Source organism: Homo sapiens, chromosome 3 (genome assembly GCF_000001405.40).
Source record: "Homo sapiens chromosome 3, GRCh38.p14 Primary Assembly".
NCBI classification, from domain to species: domain Eukaryota; kingdom Metazoa; phylum Chordata; class Mammalia; order Primates; family Hominidae; genus Homo; species Homo sapiens.
Genome location: NC_000003.12, coordinates 57,247,652 through 57,262,576, shown reverse-complemented (window position 1 = coordinate 57,262,576; position 14,925 = coordinate 57,247,652). Strand labels below are relative to the sequence as shown.

Here is a 14,925-nt window from a genome sequence, read left to right as displayed (position 1 = left end):
CTGTCTCTACTAAAAAAATTAGCCGGGCATGGTGGCACACAACTGTAGTCCCAGCTACTTGGGAGCTGAGGCAGGAAAATCACTTTAATCCAGGAGGTGGAGGTTACGGTGAGCCAAGATTGTGCCACTGCACTCCAGCCTGGGCAACAGAGCAAGAGTCTGTCTCAAAAAAAAAAAAAAAAAAAAAAAAAGGTTATTTTCCATAGAAAAAAAAAACACTAGAAGAAAATGAAGGGAAAACTCTCCTGCACATTGGTCTCGGCAAAGATTTTATGCCTAAGACCTCAAAAGTATAGGCAATAAAAATAAACAAATGGGACTTAAACTAAAAAGTGTCTGCATAGCCAAAGAAATAACAGAGTAAACAGACAACCTGTTGAATGGGAGAAATTATTTGCAAACTGTTCATCCAACTGGGGACTAATATCCAGAATATACAACGAACTCAACAGGGAAAAAATCAAATAATCCCACTTAAAAGTATGCAGAGGATATGAATATGCATTTCTTAAAGGACACAAAAACAGCCAACAGGTATATGAAAAGATGCTCGACATTACTAATCATTAGAGAAATGCAAATCAAAATGACAATGAGCCATTCTTACCCTAGTCAGAATGGCTATCACTAAAAAGACAAAAAATAGCAGATGTTGGTGAAATGCAGAAAAAAGGGGAACTCATACACTGTTGGTGGGAACATAAACTAGTACAACCACTATGGAAAACAGTATGGAGATCTCTCAAAAAACTAAAAATAGACCGGGTATGGTGGCTCACGCCTGTAATCCCAGCACTTTGGGAGGCTGAGGCAGGCAGATCACGAGGTCAGGAGATCAAGACTATCCTGGCTAACACGGTGAAACCCCGTCTCTACTAAAAATACAAAAAATTAGCCGGGCATGGTGGCAGGCACCTGTAATCCCAGCTACTCGGGAGGCTGAGGCAGGAGAATGGCGTGAACCCAGGAGGCAGAGGTTGCAGTGAGCCAAGATCGCACCACTGCATTCCAGCCTGGGCGACAGAGTGAAACTCCGTCTCAAAAACAACAACAACAACAAAAACTAAAAATAGAACTACCATTCGATCCAACAATCCCACTACTGGGTATCTACCCAAAATTAAAGAAATCTGTATCAAAAGGATACCTGCACTCACATGTTTACTGTAGTACTATTCACAATAGCAAAGATATTAAGTCAATCTAAATGTTCATTAACAGATAAATGAATAAAGAAAATGTGGTACATATACACAATGGAGTACTATTCAGCCATAAAAAGAATGAAATCATGTCATTCACAACAACGTGGATGGAACTAGAAGTCATTATCTTACGTGAAATAAGCCAGGCACAAAAAGACAAATATCACATGTTCTCACTTGTATGTGGGAGCCAAAAAATTGATCACGTGGAGGCAGAGTGTGGAATGACAGACAACAGAGACTGGGAAGGCTGAGTGATGAGGAAAGGGGGAGGATGAAGAAAAGCTGATTAAAGGGTACAACCATAAATTACGATAGAAAGAATATATTTAATATCTGACAGCAGAGTAGGGTGACTATACTTCACAAAAATGTATTGTACTTGGATGATGGACACCCTAAATACCCTGACTTGCTTACTGTACATTCTATACATGTAACAAAATTCACATGTGCCTCATAAATTTGTATAAATTGTAAAGAATTCAATCAGTAATTACTAACTAATTTAATTTGTAAGAATTTAATTATTATTAAATCTTAGTAAGAATCAATTAGTAAGTGGTTATGACAGAGATATTCTGAAAAGCCATGTACCTTTTCCCCCTCATTGTTTGACTCAAATATATAGCAGACTGATGACAGATTACTTTCACTTCTCCCGCTTGATGTCCGAAGAACAAATCCAAAAAGGCGCTTATTTTCCTGGTGTGTAGCATACAAAACTACACAAGGTAATGGAAACTGCCACAGAAAACATCAGAAGCAAACATGAGATCTTACAAGTCATTACAGCAGCACTTGTGACAAACTCATATGCTAAGTTCTAAAAATATAAATATTTTAATATATTAAAGCCAATTATTTTAACAGACTTGTAATGCAGAAACAAGTAATGTCATATTTGGTTTGAATTAACAAGCAGAAAAAGGTTGTTGAATATTACATTTGTTTTATTAGTCATTAACACATTTTACAAAGTCAAAAAGAACTGTGTTAAAAAAATTACAAAAAGAATTGTGTTAATTCTTTTAAGTTACATAAAATGTTCAATGACAACTTTTTGGAGATGGCCATAGACTTAACTACAACAGCCAAAGACCAATCATAGCTGATACTATCACACTTGAATATACAGGATCAGGATTATTATCAAGTTGTAAGATGTGTATATATACAAAGGGACCTAAAACAAAGCTTAAATCATGTGGAACTCACCGTGAGCCTTGTAACTTGTGTCTGTGGATCAATTAACCTAAAATAATAATTTAAAAATTGGAAAACAAATTTTAATTAGGCTGAAATCATGTAAATGTTTTTTCTACAGTTTTTTAAGGGAGGGTTTTACTTACTTTAAACAGTCACAAGTGACTAATAAATGCGATTCTGTCATACGAAAGATGTTATGGATGGCCCGGGCAGCTAAGATTTGGCGCATAGTTTCATAAACAACATCTGGATGGTCATCTGATTTCACCTCCATTGAACCAAGGAATCGGACAATAAATAACTGATGAAGAATAGAATCTATAATAGAACAAGGTGTATTACATATTTTTTTTTTACTGTATAAATTTACATTTTATTTTTTTCGCCATATTTCTTTTCCAAAAGAATAAAATACACTGCCTCCTTTTAGGTTTTCTAGTGAAAAATTCAACAGCCTAAGGGAGACATTTCAAAATAACTCCTAACTACAGTATTCCAAGTTATAGGAAAATTAGGGTTTCAAATTCAAATAGCTAAAAGTAATGCTTCAACAACTGGCAGTTCTGAGGCCAGGCGTGGTGGTTCACACCTGTAATCCTAGCACTTTGGGAGGCTAAGGCAGGAGGATCCCTTGAGCCCAGGAGTTCGAGACCAGCCTAGGCAACATAGGGAGCCCTGTCTCAACACACACACACACACACAAACACACAACAACTGGTGGTTCTTACAGCATTTCTGTAAGTTTAGAATTCAAATAAATAGTTAGTGGCGGAAAAACAAAATTTATGCTCCAGTACCAGAAGAGAAACATCAGCTGTTAGGAAAAGCTTGAAAGGTATCTTAGGCACTGAATTTGACTATAAAGTCAAAAGTATGAGAGTCTATCGTTTTGTATGAATCACAACATCTTAAGTCAGATTAAGTTCTGTTGCTTCAAGTGTACTATAAGTAAGTAGAGGAAATTCTGAAGTAAAGATAGCATTAAAACTGAGCTTAGTAGCAGAGCAAATATAAACAATAAATTATTCACAGTTTGCTGAGAAGCAGTTCTAAAATATATGAATGCTGCACATCTGTCTTACCTTCAGTTTCAGATTTTGTACTTCCTCCAGATTCTCCAAATGGATTTGTACGCCTAAAAAGTTTAGAAGAAAATATGAACACATGGTCAGTTACCATGAGCCACATAGAAGAAATCTAATTATTAAAACCACAGTTAACATTTAAAAAAAAAAAGCTCTAAAATGCCCCATCCTATTAAGAAACACTATTGATCACTAAATTACTATGATGAAGGCCTCTGCCCTCACACACTAACTGATCAATGTTGGTGCACTTTAGAAGACACAGATGAATTGGAAGTTTAGACATACACAACAAAAAATCAACATAATAAACCATGTTGCAAAAGTTCTTGAATTTAAATAAGCTAGCACAGAGGAACACTTATTTAACTGCAATCTTAGTTGCTTGAGAAAAATGCCAAGAATGTCCTGGAATTGTAAAAACTTCTTTTTAGGTTCTGTAAGTACATGTTACAAGTTACCTATAATCTAGTTTTAAACCTGTATTTCTTAAAGCGTAAGTAACAATGCAAAAAGAAAAGTGAACTGGAGATGGAAGCTACCTTCCTCCTTAGTGTGCATGGCTTGTGGCACACCACAGTGAAGGAAGAAAAGTACAACTCAAAGTAGGTTTTGGAGGGCTGGGCATTGTGGCTCACACCTGTAATCTCAGCACTTTGGGAGGCCGAGGCAGGAGGACTGCTTGACCCTGGGAGTTTGAGATCTGCTAGGGCAACACAGGAAGAACCCGTCTCTACCAAAGAAATTTAAAAATTAGCTGGGTGTGGTGGCGCACGCCTGTGGTCCCAGGTACTCAGGAGGGTGAGGCAGGTGGATCCCTTGAGCCCAGAAGGTCAAAGCTGCAGTGAGCTATGATCATGCCGCTGCACTCCAGCCTGGGCAACAGAGTGAGACCCCATCTCAAAACAAAACAAAGTAGGTTTTGGAAGCAGAGAGCTAAGTGGTTCTAAAAAAACACTGACAGTAAGATAACAGGAAATTAATCTCTTTAGTATGTGTCCTATTACATCAAATGCTAAGTGTATTTCTGTGATCAAATGTAAATGACTTTTTCTGGGTCACAGCCATGTATATCCAAATTAATATATTATCAGTTTATTAGGTGTCCACTCTACTTAATAAATGATTTGCCTTAAGTCATGTTTCCTTCAATCACAGCCAAGGAAAAATTTTAACTGCTTTGGTGAGAATATTCATCATACAACTAAACAATGACTCATTCATAATTCATAATAGTGATAATGTTTTAGTAACTTCCTGAAGATTTCTTATTCTGGTATAAGATAATATTTTCTAATAAACCTATATCACATGTATTACCCTCAAGAATTTTTTAAAAATTGTCATGACCTAAAGACAGCTATCAACTTTCTTCTGCAATTTTAAGAGCAAGTATCCAAGAAATAGACCTAATAAGCAATACAGAATTAAATATTTGGAAACTAAATTATCTTAACTCCTTAACTGAGGCAGAAGACATAGAGAAAAAAACCTGCATGGTTCTTCCCTAACAATATGTTACATAATTAAACAAAGAAAGTACAACATAGCTGATATACATTATAAATAAGAGATGACTCTGAAATGCAGACAGGGGATTATAAGCCTTACAGACCACAGCACAATGTACCTGTGATGCTATCACCCACCTGCCTCCCTGGCCAAAGGCTTTTGCCTGGCCAGGCTGATCTTCACACACAGGAGAAATTATGTCAAACTGTATTGGGGTGTCTGGGGCAACAAGAGAATCTAGAGAGAGGGCAGCCAAATTTGTAGACTCAGATCCTAAGGATCCTGAACTGCTGGTTCGAGCTGTCGGTGGCCGAGATTGTCTAAGCATAAAACAAGAAGGCATTGCATTTAATTTTCCCTTTTGGATATTAAATATTTAACAAACTATGAAAAAAGAAAACACAATATTATAAGTCAATGAGAAGTCTTAAGTTTCAGTACAAACATAATCCCAGATCACAGATACTTTAAATAGCCCATCTCCTTCTTTAAATAACTCAGTGTGGTAACTTACCCTGCTGCTGGCCGCAGGCTCTCGTGCCTCTGCTGGAAAGATGGGGAAGGAGTGACAGCTTCCAGAGCTGATTGATTTACTCGTGCAGCAGTTTCCTATTTCAATTTTTTTAAAAAAGGACTAATATTAGTAAAGTAAGCAAACCAAAAGTTTGAATGTAACTCTGAATTGTTAGAATGCTTCTGAGTTACACTTAAAATATAAATTAGAGCTACTAAAGTAGTACTATATTCCCTCGTCTTAATATTAGGGTACATAACTGATTTCCTCTTACTTCCTATAATCTAGCAAAAAAATCTGATTTTCTACTTATACATAATTATTAGATATTGCTTTTTAATTTTTTAAAATTCCCTGCAAGTGTTGCACACTTTAAATTTTTAAAGAAAATATTGTTTTCTTTACATTTTTAACTACCAGATATTTTTTATTAAAGTTTGTATTGCTAACATGCAGCCCAGTGCCTGGCACAATGGACAATCGATACATTTGTTGAATAAAGAAATTTAGAAGGAATAGGAAATATTCACAAAATATGAGTATTTTATAACTATGCTGGTAAAGTTTTCACAATTTTCCAGAATATATTTATGCTCAGAAGTATCTGTTTATTAATTTATAAAGCTGTCATATTTTCAGACCAAAAAATTGAAAATAAGAAAGCTTTCCATAAGAAATACTTTAGACTTACTGTTTTATTTAAAATACTGGCTAAATAAAAAATGGTATTTAAATTAGAGATCTGTTTTAATCACGTACATATAGTTAACATTTCTGTATACTTAAAAATGGTTAACATGGTAAATTTACAGATTTTTTCACAATTTTTTAAATGGTCTTTTTTTGGGAGATACGTTCTCTATTGCCCAGGCTGGCGTGCAATGGCATGATTATGGCTCACTGCATCCTTGATCTCCTAGGCTCAAACAATCCTCCCCCCTCAGCCTCCTGAGTAGTTGAGACTACAGGCACTATTCCATAAAAATGGTCTTTAAATTAGAAAAAATAATCACATAACAATTTTGCACTTCTGTGTCTTATGGTTAGCAAAATGACTAATACAATGCTAAAAACTGATCAAAATTCCTATTCTCACTAATACAGATAAAATAATTCTGGATAACCTAGGAAATATTAACTAAAAATTAGAGTTCTGATAATTGGTAGTAAAAGACTGTAAGTATTACAAACTATTCAAATCCAAACACTGTATGACCTAAATGATAAAATAAATTATTTAATTTGTATTTTAATGGTATTTTTTGTTGTTCCCAAATAACCTTACAAAAAGGAAAAGCTAGATTGGCAGGAGATCAAATTACTAAAAGCAAAAGCCTTCTCTATAGTTAACACTGATTTTCCGTAATTAAACTCATAATTTATTTTATTAGACATAATTGTAATAAATATGTTACAATGTAAATATAATAACATTATAAAACTAACAAATTACGAGTATTTTGGAGGTCATGAGATTTTGTTTCTATGGTTCAAAACTTCCTCCTAGGCATTCCTTAGCTGGCACCTCAAAGCCGTTAAGATAAAAACAGAACTCTTCTTTCCCAAATTCTTCTTCTCTTCCCTTGGGTTTAAAACCTGGAAGTCATCTTTACCTTAGTCATCTCTTTCATCCTTCATATCAATCAGTTACTAAACTAGTCTAGGCCTCCCATCTAATCCACCATTACATCAACAGCAGATTACAATTTAGAAGAGTGAGAGCCTCCCAAAGAAATTAGCCCTCCCAGCCTCAGCTGAAATCATCAGCCAGGAGTTGCCTGGACTCCCATAGCACAGACAGGCCCACTAAGAGTGGCAGAGGTCAGGCAGCTCCTGTCCTAGAGTCAAGTCCTCTTCCAACTATACTGCAGTACCTACTTGACTCCTTCCAGAATTCTCTGTACCCCTGGGTTCTACCTGTATGTTTGGACTGCACCTGTGGCTGTGTCTACACTTCAGGGTTCATCTGGTTTGATATCCTTGCCACACAAAATATAATTTGCAAAACTGGGAATTCACGCTGTATCACCCCAGACATACTGAATCATATTACGCATTTTAACAAGACCCCTAAGTGACTTGTATGCACATTTCAGTTTTGTATTCTCTATCAAGAATCTTTAACTTGGCTGGGCGTGGTGGCTCACGCCTGTAATCCCAGCACTTTGGGAGGCCGAGGCAGGTGGATCACCTGAAGTTGGAAGTTCAAGACCAGCCTGGCCAACATGGCAAAACCCTGTCTCTATTAAAAATACAAAAATTGGCTGGGCATGGTGGCGCAGGCCTGTAGTCCCAGCCACTCAAAAGGCTGAGGCAGGAGAATCGCTTGAACCCGGGAGGCAGAGGCTGCAGTGGGCTGAGATAGCACCACTGCACTCCAGTCTGGGCAACACCGCAAGACTCTGTCTCAAAAAAAAGAATCTTTAATTACACTGCTAGTTTCATAAACCTGCCATTTCTGCATTTGTATTCTTTTTTTCTCTTATCTGCACTGTGTCTTCTTTTCCTCAAAACAAACAAATCCTACCCAACTCAGGTTTCCACCATCTCCACAGAGCTTTCTCTAAAGTCCACACTGATCTTAATATTCTCAAAACTATTCTCAAAACCTAAGCCTTTAGTCATCGCCATATGCTTTCAGTTACATCCTGTTTTATCTGAAATGTTACTTAAAGTTTTAGTTTTGTCTCTCCATACAGATAGGCTCCTAGAGGGCAGAGGCCATGGCTCAATTTTCTTCTGTATTTCCTTTCTTCATGGTGCTCAACGCAGAGTTAAATAGTCCACACCCAATAAATATTTGTTGGTTGACTGAGTATCTTTTGAAATAATTTATTGTTCTAGGAAGACCACTCATTACATTCATGGCACATTAAAGCTACTCATTCAGGCCAGGCACAGTGGCTCACGCCTGTAATCCCAGCACTTTGGGAGGCCGAGATGGCCAGATCACCTGAGGACAGGAGTTCGAGACCAGCCTGGCCAACATGGCCAAATCCTGTCTCTACTAAAAATACAAAAATTAGCTGGGTGTCATGGCACACGCCTGTAATCTCAGCTACTGGTGAGGCTGAAGCAGGAGAATCGCTTGAACCTGGGAGGTGGAGGTTGTAGTGAACAAAGATCAGGCCACAGCACTCCAGCCTGGGCAATGGGGCGAGACTCTGTCTCAAAAAAAAAAAAAAAAAAGCTACTCATTCAAGGTCAAATTAAAAAATTACAGAACCTGAGAAATTATGAATTAATAAAAACATGTAAGCCACAAAATTACTCAATTTTGCTAGATCTGGGTAACATAAAATAAAAATATTACCTCTGGATTTTCACTTAAGTATATTTGTTTAGATATGTTGTTTATTGTACAGATCCACTGCAAGAGGAAAAAATAGAAAAATATAATTTTTTTTCTACAAAGCTTCTCTTGTAAAGGCAAATGTTCAATACTCAACTGCAACAGATGTTTCATTAGAAGTAATATATTTATCTTCCTTATAAGAAAACATTTCATAACAGATGTTTCATTAGAAGTAATATATTTATCTTCCTTATAAGAAAACATTTCATAAGGAGGGTGCATATATATAAATATATATAAAAGCACATTCAACATTTTTATTATTTAAATATATGAAAACATTTAGTAGATTTATGTAAGAATCTCAAGTTTAATTCATATAAGGCAATAAAAAATATAGCAATCATGTTAAATTATACTTAATAATCTATATTTATCTTTTTATATCACTTCCCCTCCTAATCCCCACCAAACAAGACAGTGTGAACTCGGGTATCATAATTAACACAAATGTAAAAAAATTTAAAAGATAAATATATTCTTGGTGAATATATTTTACATGCCTCCCTTCTGTCAAGTTTATAAATAATTAGCATAGAAAACAATCTCTGCTCTACATCTTCTGCTTCACTCTCGAGGATTCAAGTGCCCAAAGAGCCTCACTAATCTAAACAAATATTTTGTTTGGCAAACTATGCAGAGAACAGAGACATTTGTCTGTGTTCCTCAGAGACTAAAAGCAAGTTTTAATATTACTCTTTTCCATAAGAAGTAAATAAAGGTAGATCTCTATAGCATTTCCAACTTTTATCTTTTACCAACACAATTATAATGCCAAATTAAAAGGCTAAAAATCAAGCTAAGATACATTTTCATGGAAGAATGTTTCTCAAGATAAAGGTTTGAAGCATCAATTATTGCTAATACCTTACCTTCCATATCTGATATACTAGGAGTAAAAATGGAGCCAAAAATAAAAGGCTCATGAGGAAGAACAGAGACTCCCAAATTTTTGTTTTTCTATCTTTCATTTCTCCAAGGTTTTCAGCTTTAGTTGCTTCCTGCCATGTCACATCTGCTGCCACTATGTTCTTAGTGTAGCAAATAGTGTCTCAAAGGATTGGTGAGAGAAGGGAATAAATTAAACTGTCACCTCATGATACTAACAGCCTGCCAGACAGCAACAGTCACAAGGTCATTTCTCAATCTGAGCCTTTAAAATAGCAGAGATGATCTCTAAGGTCCCTCCCACTATAAAATTCTGTGAGAAACTTAAGAATATTGCTCGAGGACAATAGACTTTTACAAAAACAAAAAAGAAAAAGAAAGATTTTTAATTAACTAGGATTTTCCAAAATTTCTACAATGAACACATTAATATATGTTTTGTCATCAGAAAAATATTTTAAAATGTCAATGAAGAAATGAACTAGGTAAAATCTTACCTCTTCATGATCTTTTTTACTCTCTGCTTGCAAAATTGAAGATCTGGAAGAGAAGAGACGTTTGAGCCTCAACTGTTTAAAAAAGTATTTTCAACATAATCCGAGGTAACTTTTTAATCTTTAAAGTTAAAGGCATATATAAAAATCGATATTAAAAGAACAAAAACAAAACACAACCAACGGTATCTTAGGAAAAGGAGACCACCAGAGGTATCAGGATGCAGACTTTAACAGCTCTGACTTTGACTATCTATGCCAAGATGTACCAAAAAGGGAACAGGTGCTGATCCTCAGAAGACAGACCATGACAAAGTTACATTTCAGTGAAGGCAATGCATTTCAACTTATCATATATATTTCATATATATTATGAACTCATATATATTTCAAATATACATCAATGATCCTAATAGAAAAAACTTTACTTCATTATTTCTCCTTTAATATTAAATCAAATATTTCAATGTTAATCACTAACATATCATTATTTCGCTTTTCTATAGATATTAGAGTTTGAGAAAATAATAATTTTTATTAATTTTGCATCACACCAGGAATGTGAAATGGGAAATCATGGTAAGCATTAAGCAAAAAGTAAATACTTAATAGTAAGTAACATGTTAACAAGTTGGTAATTTTGATAAATGAATACAGTGATTCCAACATCTAGTGTGATAAATCCACACAATATTGGCATTCATTATATGTTTGTAGAAGGAATGTGAAATTAAACAACCATTTTGATAAAGGATAGTGAGCTATAGTATCTTTTTTTTTTTTTTTTTTTGAGACAAAGTCTCACTCTGTCACCCAGGCTGAAGTGCAGTGGCGCGATCTCGGCTCACTGCAACCTCTGCCTCCTGGGTTCAAGCAATTCTCCCTGTGTCAGCCTCCCAAGTAGGTAGGATTACAGGCACCCACCACCATGCCCAGATAATTTTTGTATTTTTAGTAGAGACTGGATTTCACCACATTGGCCAGGCTGGTCTCAAACTCCTGATGTCAGGTGATCCACCCGCCTTGGCCTCCCAAAGAGCTGGGATTACAGGCGTGAGCCACCAAGCCCGGCCTATAGTATCTTTTTTTCAGGAGTAAAGGTCAAATTTATTTATTTTTATAATATCTTAATGCGCATAAATACAGGGGAAAAAATGACTGTCAGGGAACCCACAGGCTGCTCCTGAATATTAAATTAAGAAAGTTCAGGCCGGGCGCGGTGGCTCACGCCTGTAATCCCAGCACTTTGGGAGGCCGAGGCGGGCGGATCACGAGGTCAGGAGATCGAGACCATCCTGGCTAACACGGTGAAACCCCGTCTCTACTAAAAATACAAAAAATTAGCCGGGCGTGGTAGCAGGCGCCTGTAGTCCCAGCTACTCGGGAGGCTGAGGCAGGAGAATGGCGTGAACCCGGGAGGCGGAGCTTGCAGTGAGCCGAGATCGCGCCACTGCACTCCAGCCTGGGCGACAGAGCGAGACTCCGTCTCAAAAAAAAAAAAAAAAAAAAAGAAAGAAAGTTCAAAGGTCAAAAGCAGTATTTTAATTGAGTGGGGGGAAAATGGCAGATAGTCTAAACATCTATCATTAGGAAAATGTTTAAATTATACTGTATGTCCTTAAATAGATTATAGAATAGCCATTATAACATGTTTTTAATAGGTGGCTGCAAATCCAAATTATAGTATTTCTTCAACTATTTTAAAAATGTACTTAAGTTAAAAATTGGAAGGCAATGGACAAAAAAGTTAATTGTCGCTTTTGATTAATAAGACAGTAGGATTTTTTCATACTCCTTTTTACATTTTCCATGCTTTTTGAAAATTTCTTTTAAATGCTACTTTAAAGATTCTCATTTAATGCAAAGGTAATAGAAGCCTGGACATGCTGGCTCATGCCTATGATCCCAGCACTTTGGGAGGCTAAAGCAGGAAGATCACTTAAGTCCAGGAGTTCGAGACCAGCCTGGGCAACATGATGAGACATCTCTACAAAAAAATTTTTTTTAATTGCCAGGCACAGTGGCATGCACCTGTGATCCTAGCAACTTGGGATCCTGAGGTAGGAGGATCCCTTGAGCCCAGGAGGTTGAGGCTACAGTGAGCCATGTTTACACCACTGCACTGCAGCCAGGGAGACACAGTAAGACCCCGCCTCAAAAAAAGGTAACAGAAATTTTTTAAATGGTATTATAAACATTAATGGAAAAATAATCTGATCAGAAATACTTGATTAACATTTTAAAATAACACTATTGTTAGCACCTACTATATGTCAGTCACATTACATATGTTAGAATTTCTGTTCCTCACAACAATTTACGATAGGGATTACAACCCCCCCCCATTCACATTTTACATGAAGAAAAATGGAGCGGAGAGGGGTTACAGACATTACTGTACTGTCTGAGACCACACAGTAAGTAATGGATCCAGAGTTTGATCCTTCTGACCCCAGGTTTAGGACTCTTTCCATTAACTTGTTCTGTCTTCCCTGATACTATGCAGGATTTTCAGTTCCAGTTCCCTAACATGAAATCACAGGTCTTTACTATATGACATTGCTTTGACAACTTCAAAATATCAAGAAACCATTTAACCAAGCCAGAGACAAAAATTCAATATATTTCTACAAGATTAAAAAGCAATTTATCTTAATACATAATGAACCTAAAATGTCCATAAAATTTCTAAACAAAAAGGAATTATCTCACATTTCAGAAGTTTAATATACTATAGATTAGTAGTAGTAGAAAAAAAATACTAACTTTTTTCCATCGAAAGAGGTGATCTGAAAACAATATCGTCTGTCTTCACAGTCCACAGCCATCACTGAACAGTTGTCTATGTCCATGGCCAGGCCTCCTGCTACATCCCCACGGGCCTGACTCATTAAATTTCCACCCTGCGTGAAGTAAAACTGTCTGTCCCAGGTAGATGACACCAAGCCTGTTTTACTGAATGAAGAAAGCACATTCACTCTTTAATAACAACATACCTGAAATCTCATCATCAGCTAGACACAAGATAAAGCATGTTACAATGAACTGGCTTGCGAAGAGGCACCAAGATGCCAAGAAAATAAATATAAATATGCTTTCAGTCTCTAAAATAAATTCATGTATGTTGACTCACTTTTGTGAATGTGTATACAGTTTCCAAAACAAGGCTGGAAATTATCAAACTGTGGCTGTTATAATAATGATCCATAAAATATAGGTTATAGTTCAATTTCCAAGGGAGTAAATTCAAAACAACAGAATTTATTTTATTTCTAGGGTTAACCTGCTTCATCCTATCATCAGGTGAAAACTAACATTTGACTTGGTGCTATAATTACAAATATATTAAAGTAGGATAAATGATATTTCATAGCATTCTCATGTTATGATACAATATGTGAATATTTATTTAAACTCAAATTAGTTTCACTTCATTTTTTTTTTTGAGACAGAGTCTCACTCTGTCCCTCAGGCTGGAGTGCAGTGGTGGGATCTCGGCTCACCACAACCTCTGCCTCCCATGTTCAAGTGATTCTCGTGTCTCAGCCTCCTGAGTAGCTGGGATTACAGGTGTAAGCCACCATGCTCAGCTAATTTTTGTATTTTTAGTAGAGGTGGGGTTTCACCATGTTGGCCAGGCTGGTCTCGAACTCCTGACCTCAGGTGATCCGCCCGCCTCAGCCTCCCAAAGTGCTGGGATCACAGGCGTGAGCCACCATGCCCAGCCCTGGTTTCACTTCTTTTATCATTCTACATTATTCAATAAATATCTAGGTAGGATTTTACTTCTGAAAAGTATTCATGTACTTCATCTGTCAAAAAGTTCACATAAATACTAACACCTCTAAAAAGTTTCAACCTTTAATAAAAATCAAAATATGACAGACATCAATTATTTACTATATTCATTTGGTATTGTCTTACATGATACACAATATACAAAAATAACAATAGTTTTCTTACTTCCTAGCATTAAGGTATCCAGCCTTTCGGGTTAAATTTCGATTAACAGGAAATTTGGTGGGGTCTGGGTCAGGCACATATAAGGGATCACTGGCTACTTCCAAATCCTCTATTGTCTGTTGCATGGTCTCTATATCACTGTCCATTTCCCTGCGAACACTGACACAGAACAGATTATTTGCTACAAATCACAACCAATAAAGAACTCCTTACCAATCATGTTTACCTGCATATTTGTTTCGGGTATGTTTTCTTAAAGAGAGGAAGAGCGGCATGGGTGGTTAAAACAACACGAATATATTTTAAAACAGGTTTACAGTTTATTTGAAACTTAGATATTTTGGAAACAATACTAAATTCAAAAAACAAATGAAGCCCCCCGAATGCCTGATTTTGGCGTAATTTTCAAACTGTTCTGCCCTGTGCCTTTAAAACAACAATCACTTTCATCTCTCTCCATACCGTGGACTGACCACATACACTGCTCGGCATTTTGAACCTGATAAGAACTGCTTTCTCTCTAAGCTTTCATGGCTTGGAAACAATATTTAGTAATCTCCCATCAAACTCCCACAATTTCAAGTTTAAAGATAATTTCACTTATGGGGAGTTACTATTATGTGTCTGTTATATTCAGACATAAAACTGAGTGTAGAATCAATAAAATTATCACTATTATGAAATTCAAAGTTCACAATCT

The 14,925-nt window shown here is 36.3% G+C and overlaps 1 protein-coding gene across 2 annotated transcripts in view; it reads right to left on the bottom strand.

Moving 5' to 3' along the window:
• The window catches only part of APPL1 (adaptor protein, phosphotyrosine interacting with PH domain and leucine zipper 1), a 45,743-nt gene that overhangs the window by 10,895 nt on the left and 19,923 nt on the right, over window positions 1–14,925 (bottom strand). For both annotated transcript variants that reach the window (XM_011533583.4, NM_012096.3), the window contains 10 exons: window positions 14,226–14,384; window positions 13,029–13,217; window positions 10,266–10,308; window positions 8,839–8,895; window positions 5,526–5,620; window positions 5,149–5,331; window positions 3,497–3,549; window positions 2,558–2,732; window positions 2,424–2,460; window positions 1,803–1,949 (listed from right to left, as the gene is read on the bottom strand). In XM_011533583.4, coding sequence (XP_011531885.1) covers window positions 1,803–1,949; window positions 2,424–2,460; window positions 2,558–2,732; window positions 3,497–3,549; window positions 5,149–5,331; window positions 5,526–5,620; window positions 8,839–8,895; window positions 10,266–10,308; window positions 13,029–13,217; window positions 14,226–14,384 — 1,138 coding nt within the window. The remainder of the gene's footprint in view (window positions 1–1,802; window positions 1,950–2,423; window positions 2,461–2,557; window positions 2,733–3,496; window positions 3,550–5,148; window positions 5,332–5,525; window positions 5,621–8,838; window positions 8,896–10,265; window positions 10,309–13,028; window positions 13,218–14,225; window positions 14,385–14,925) is intronic.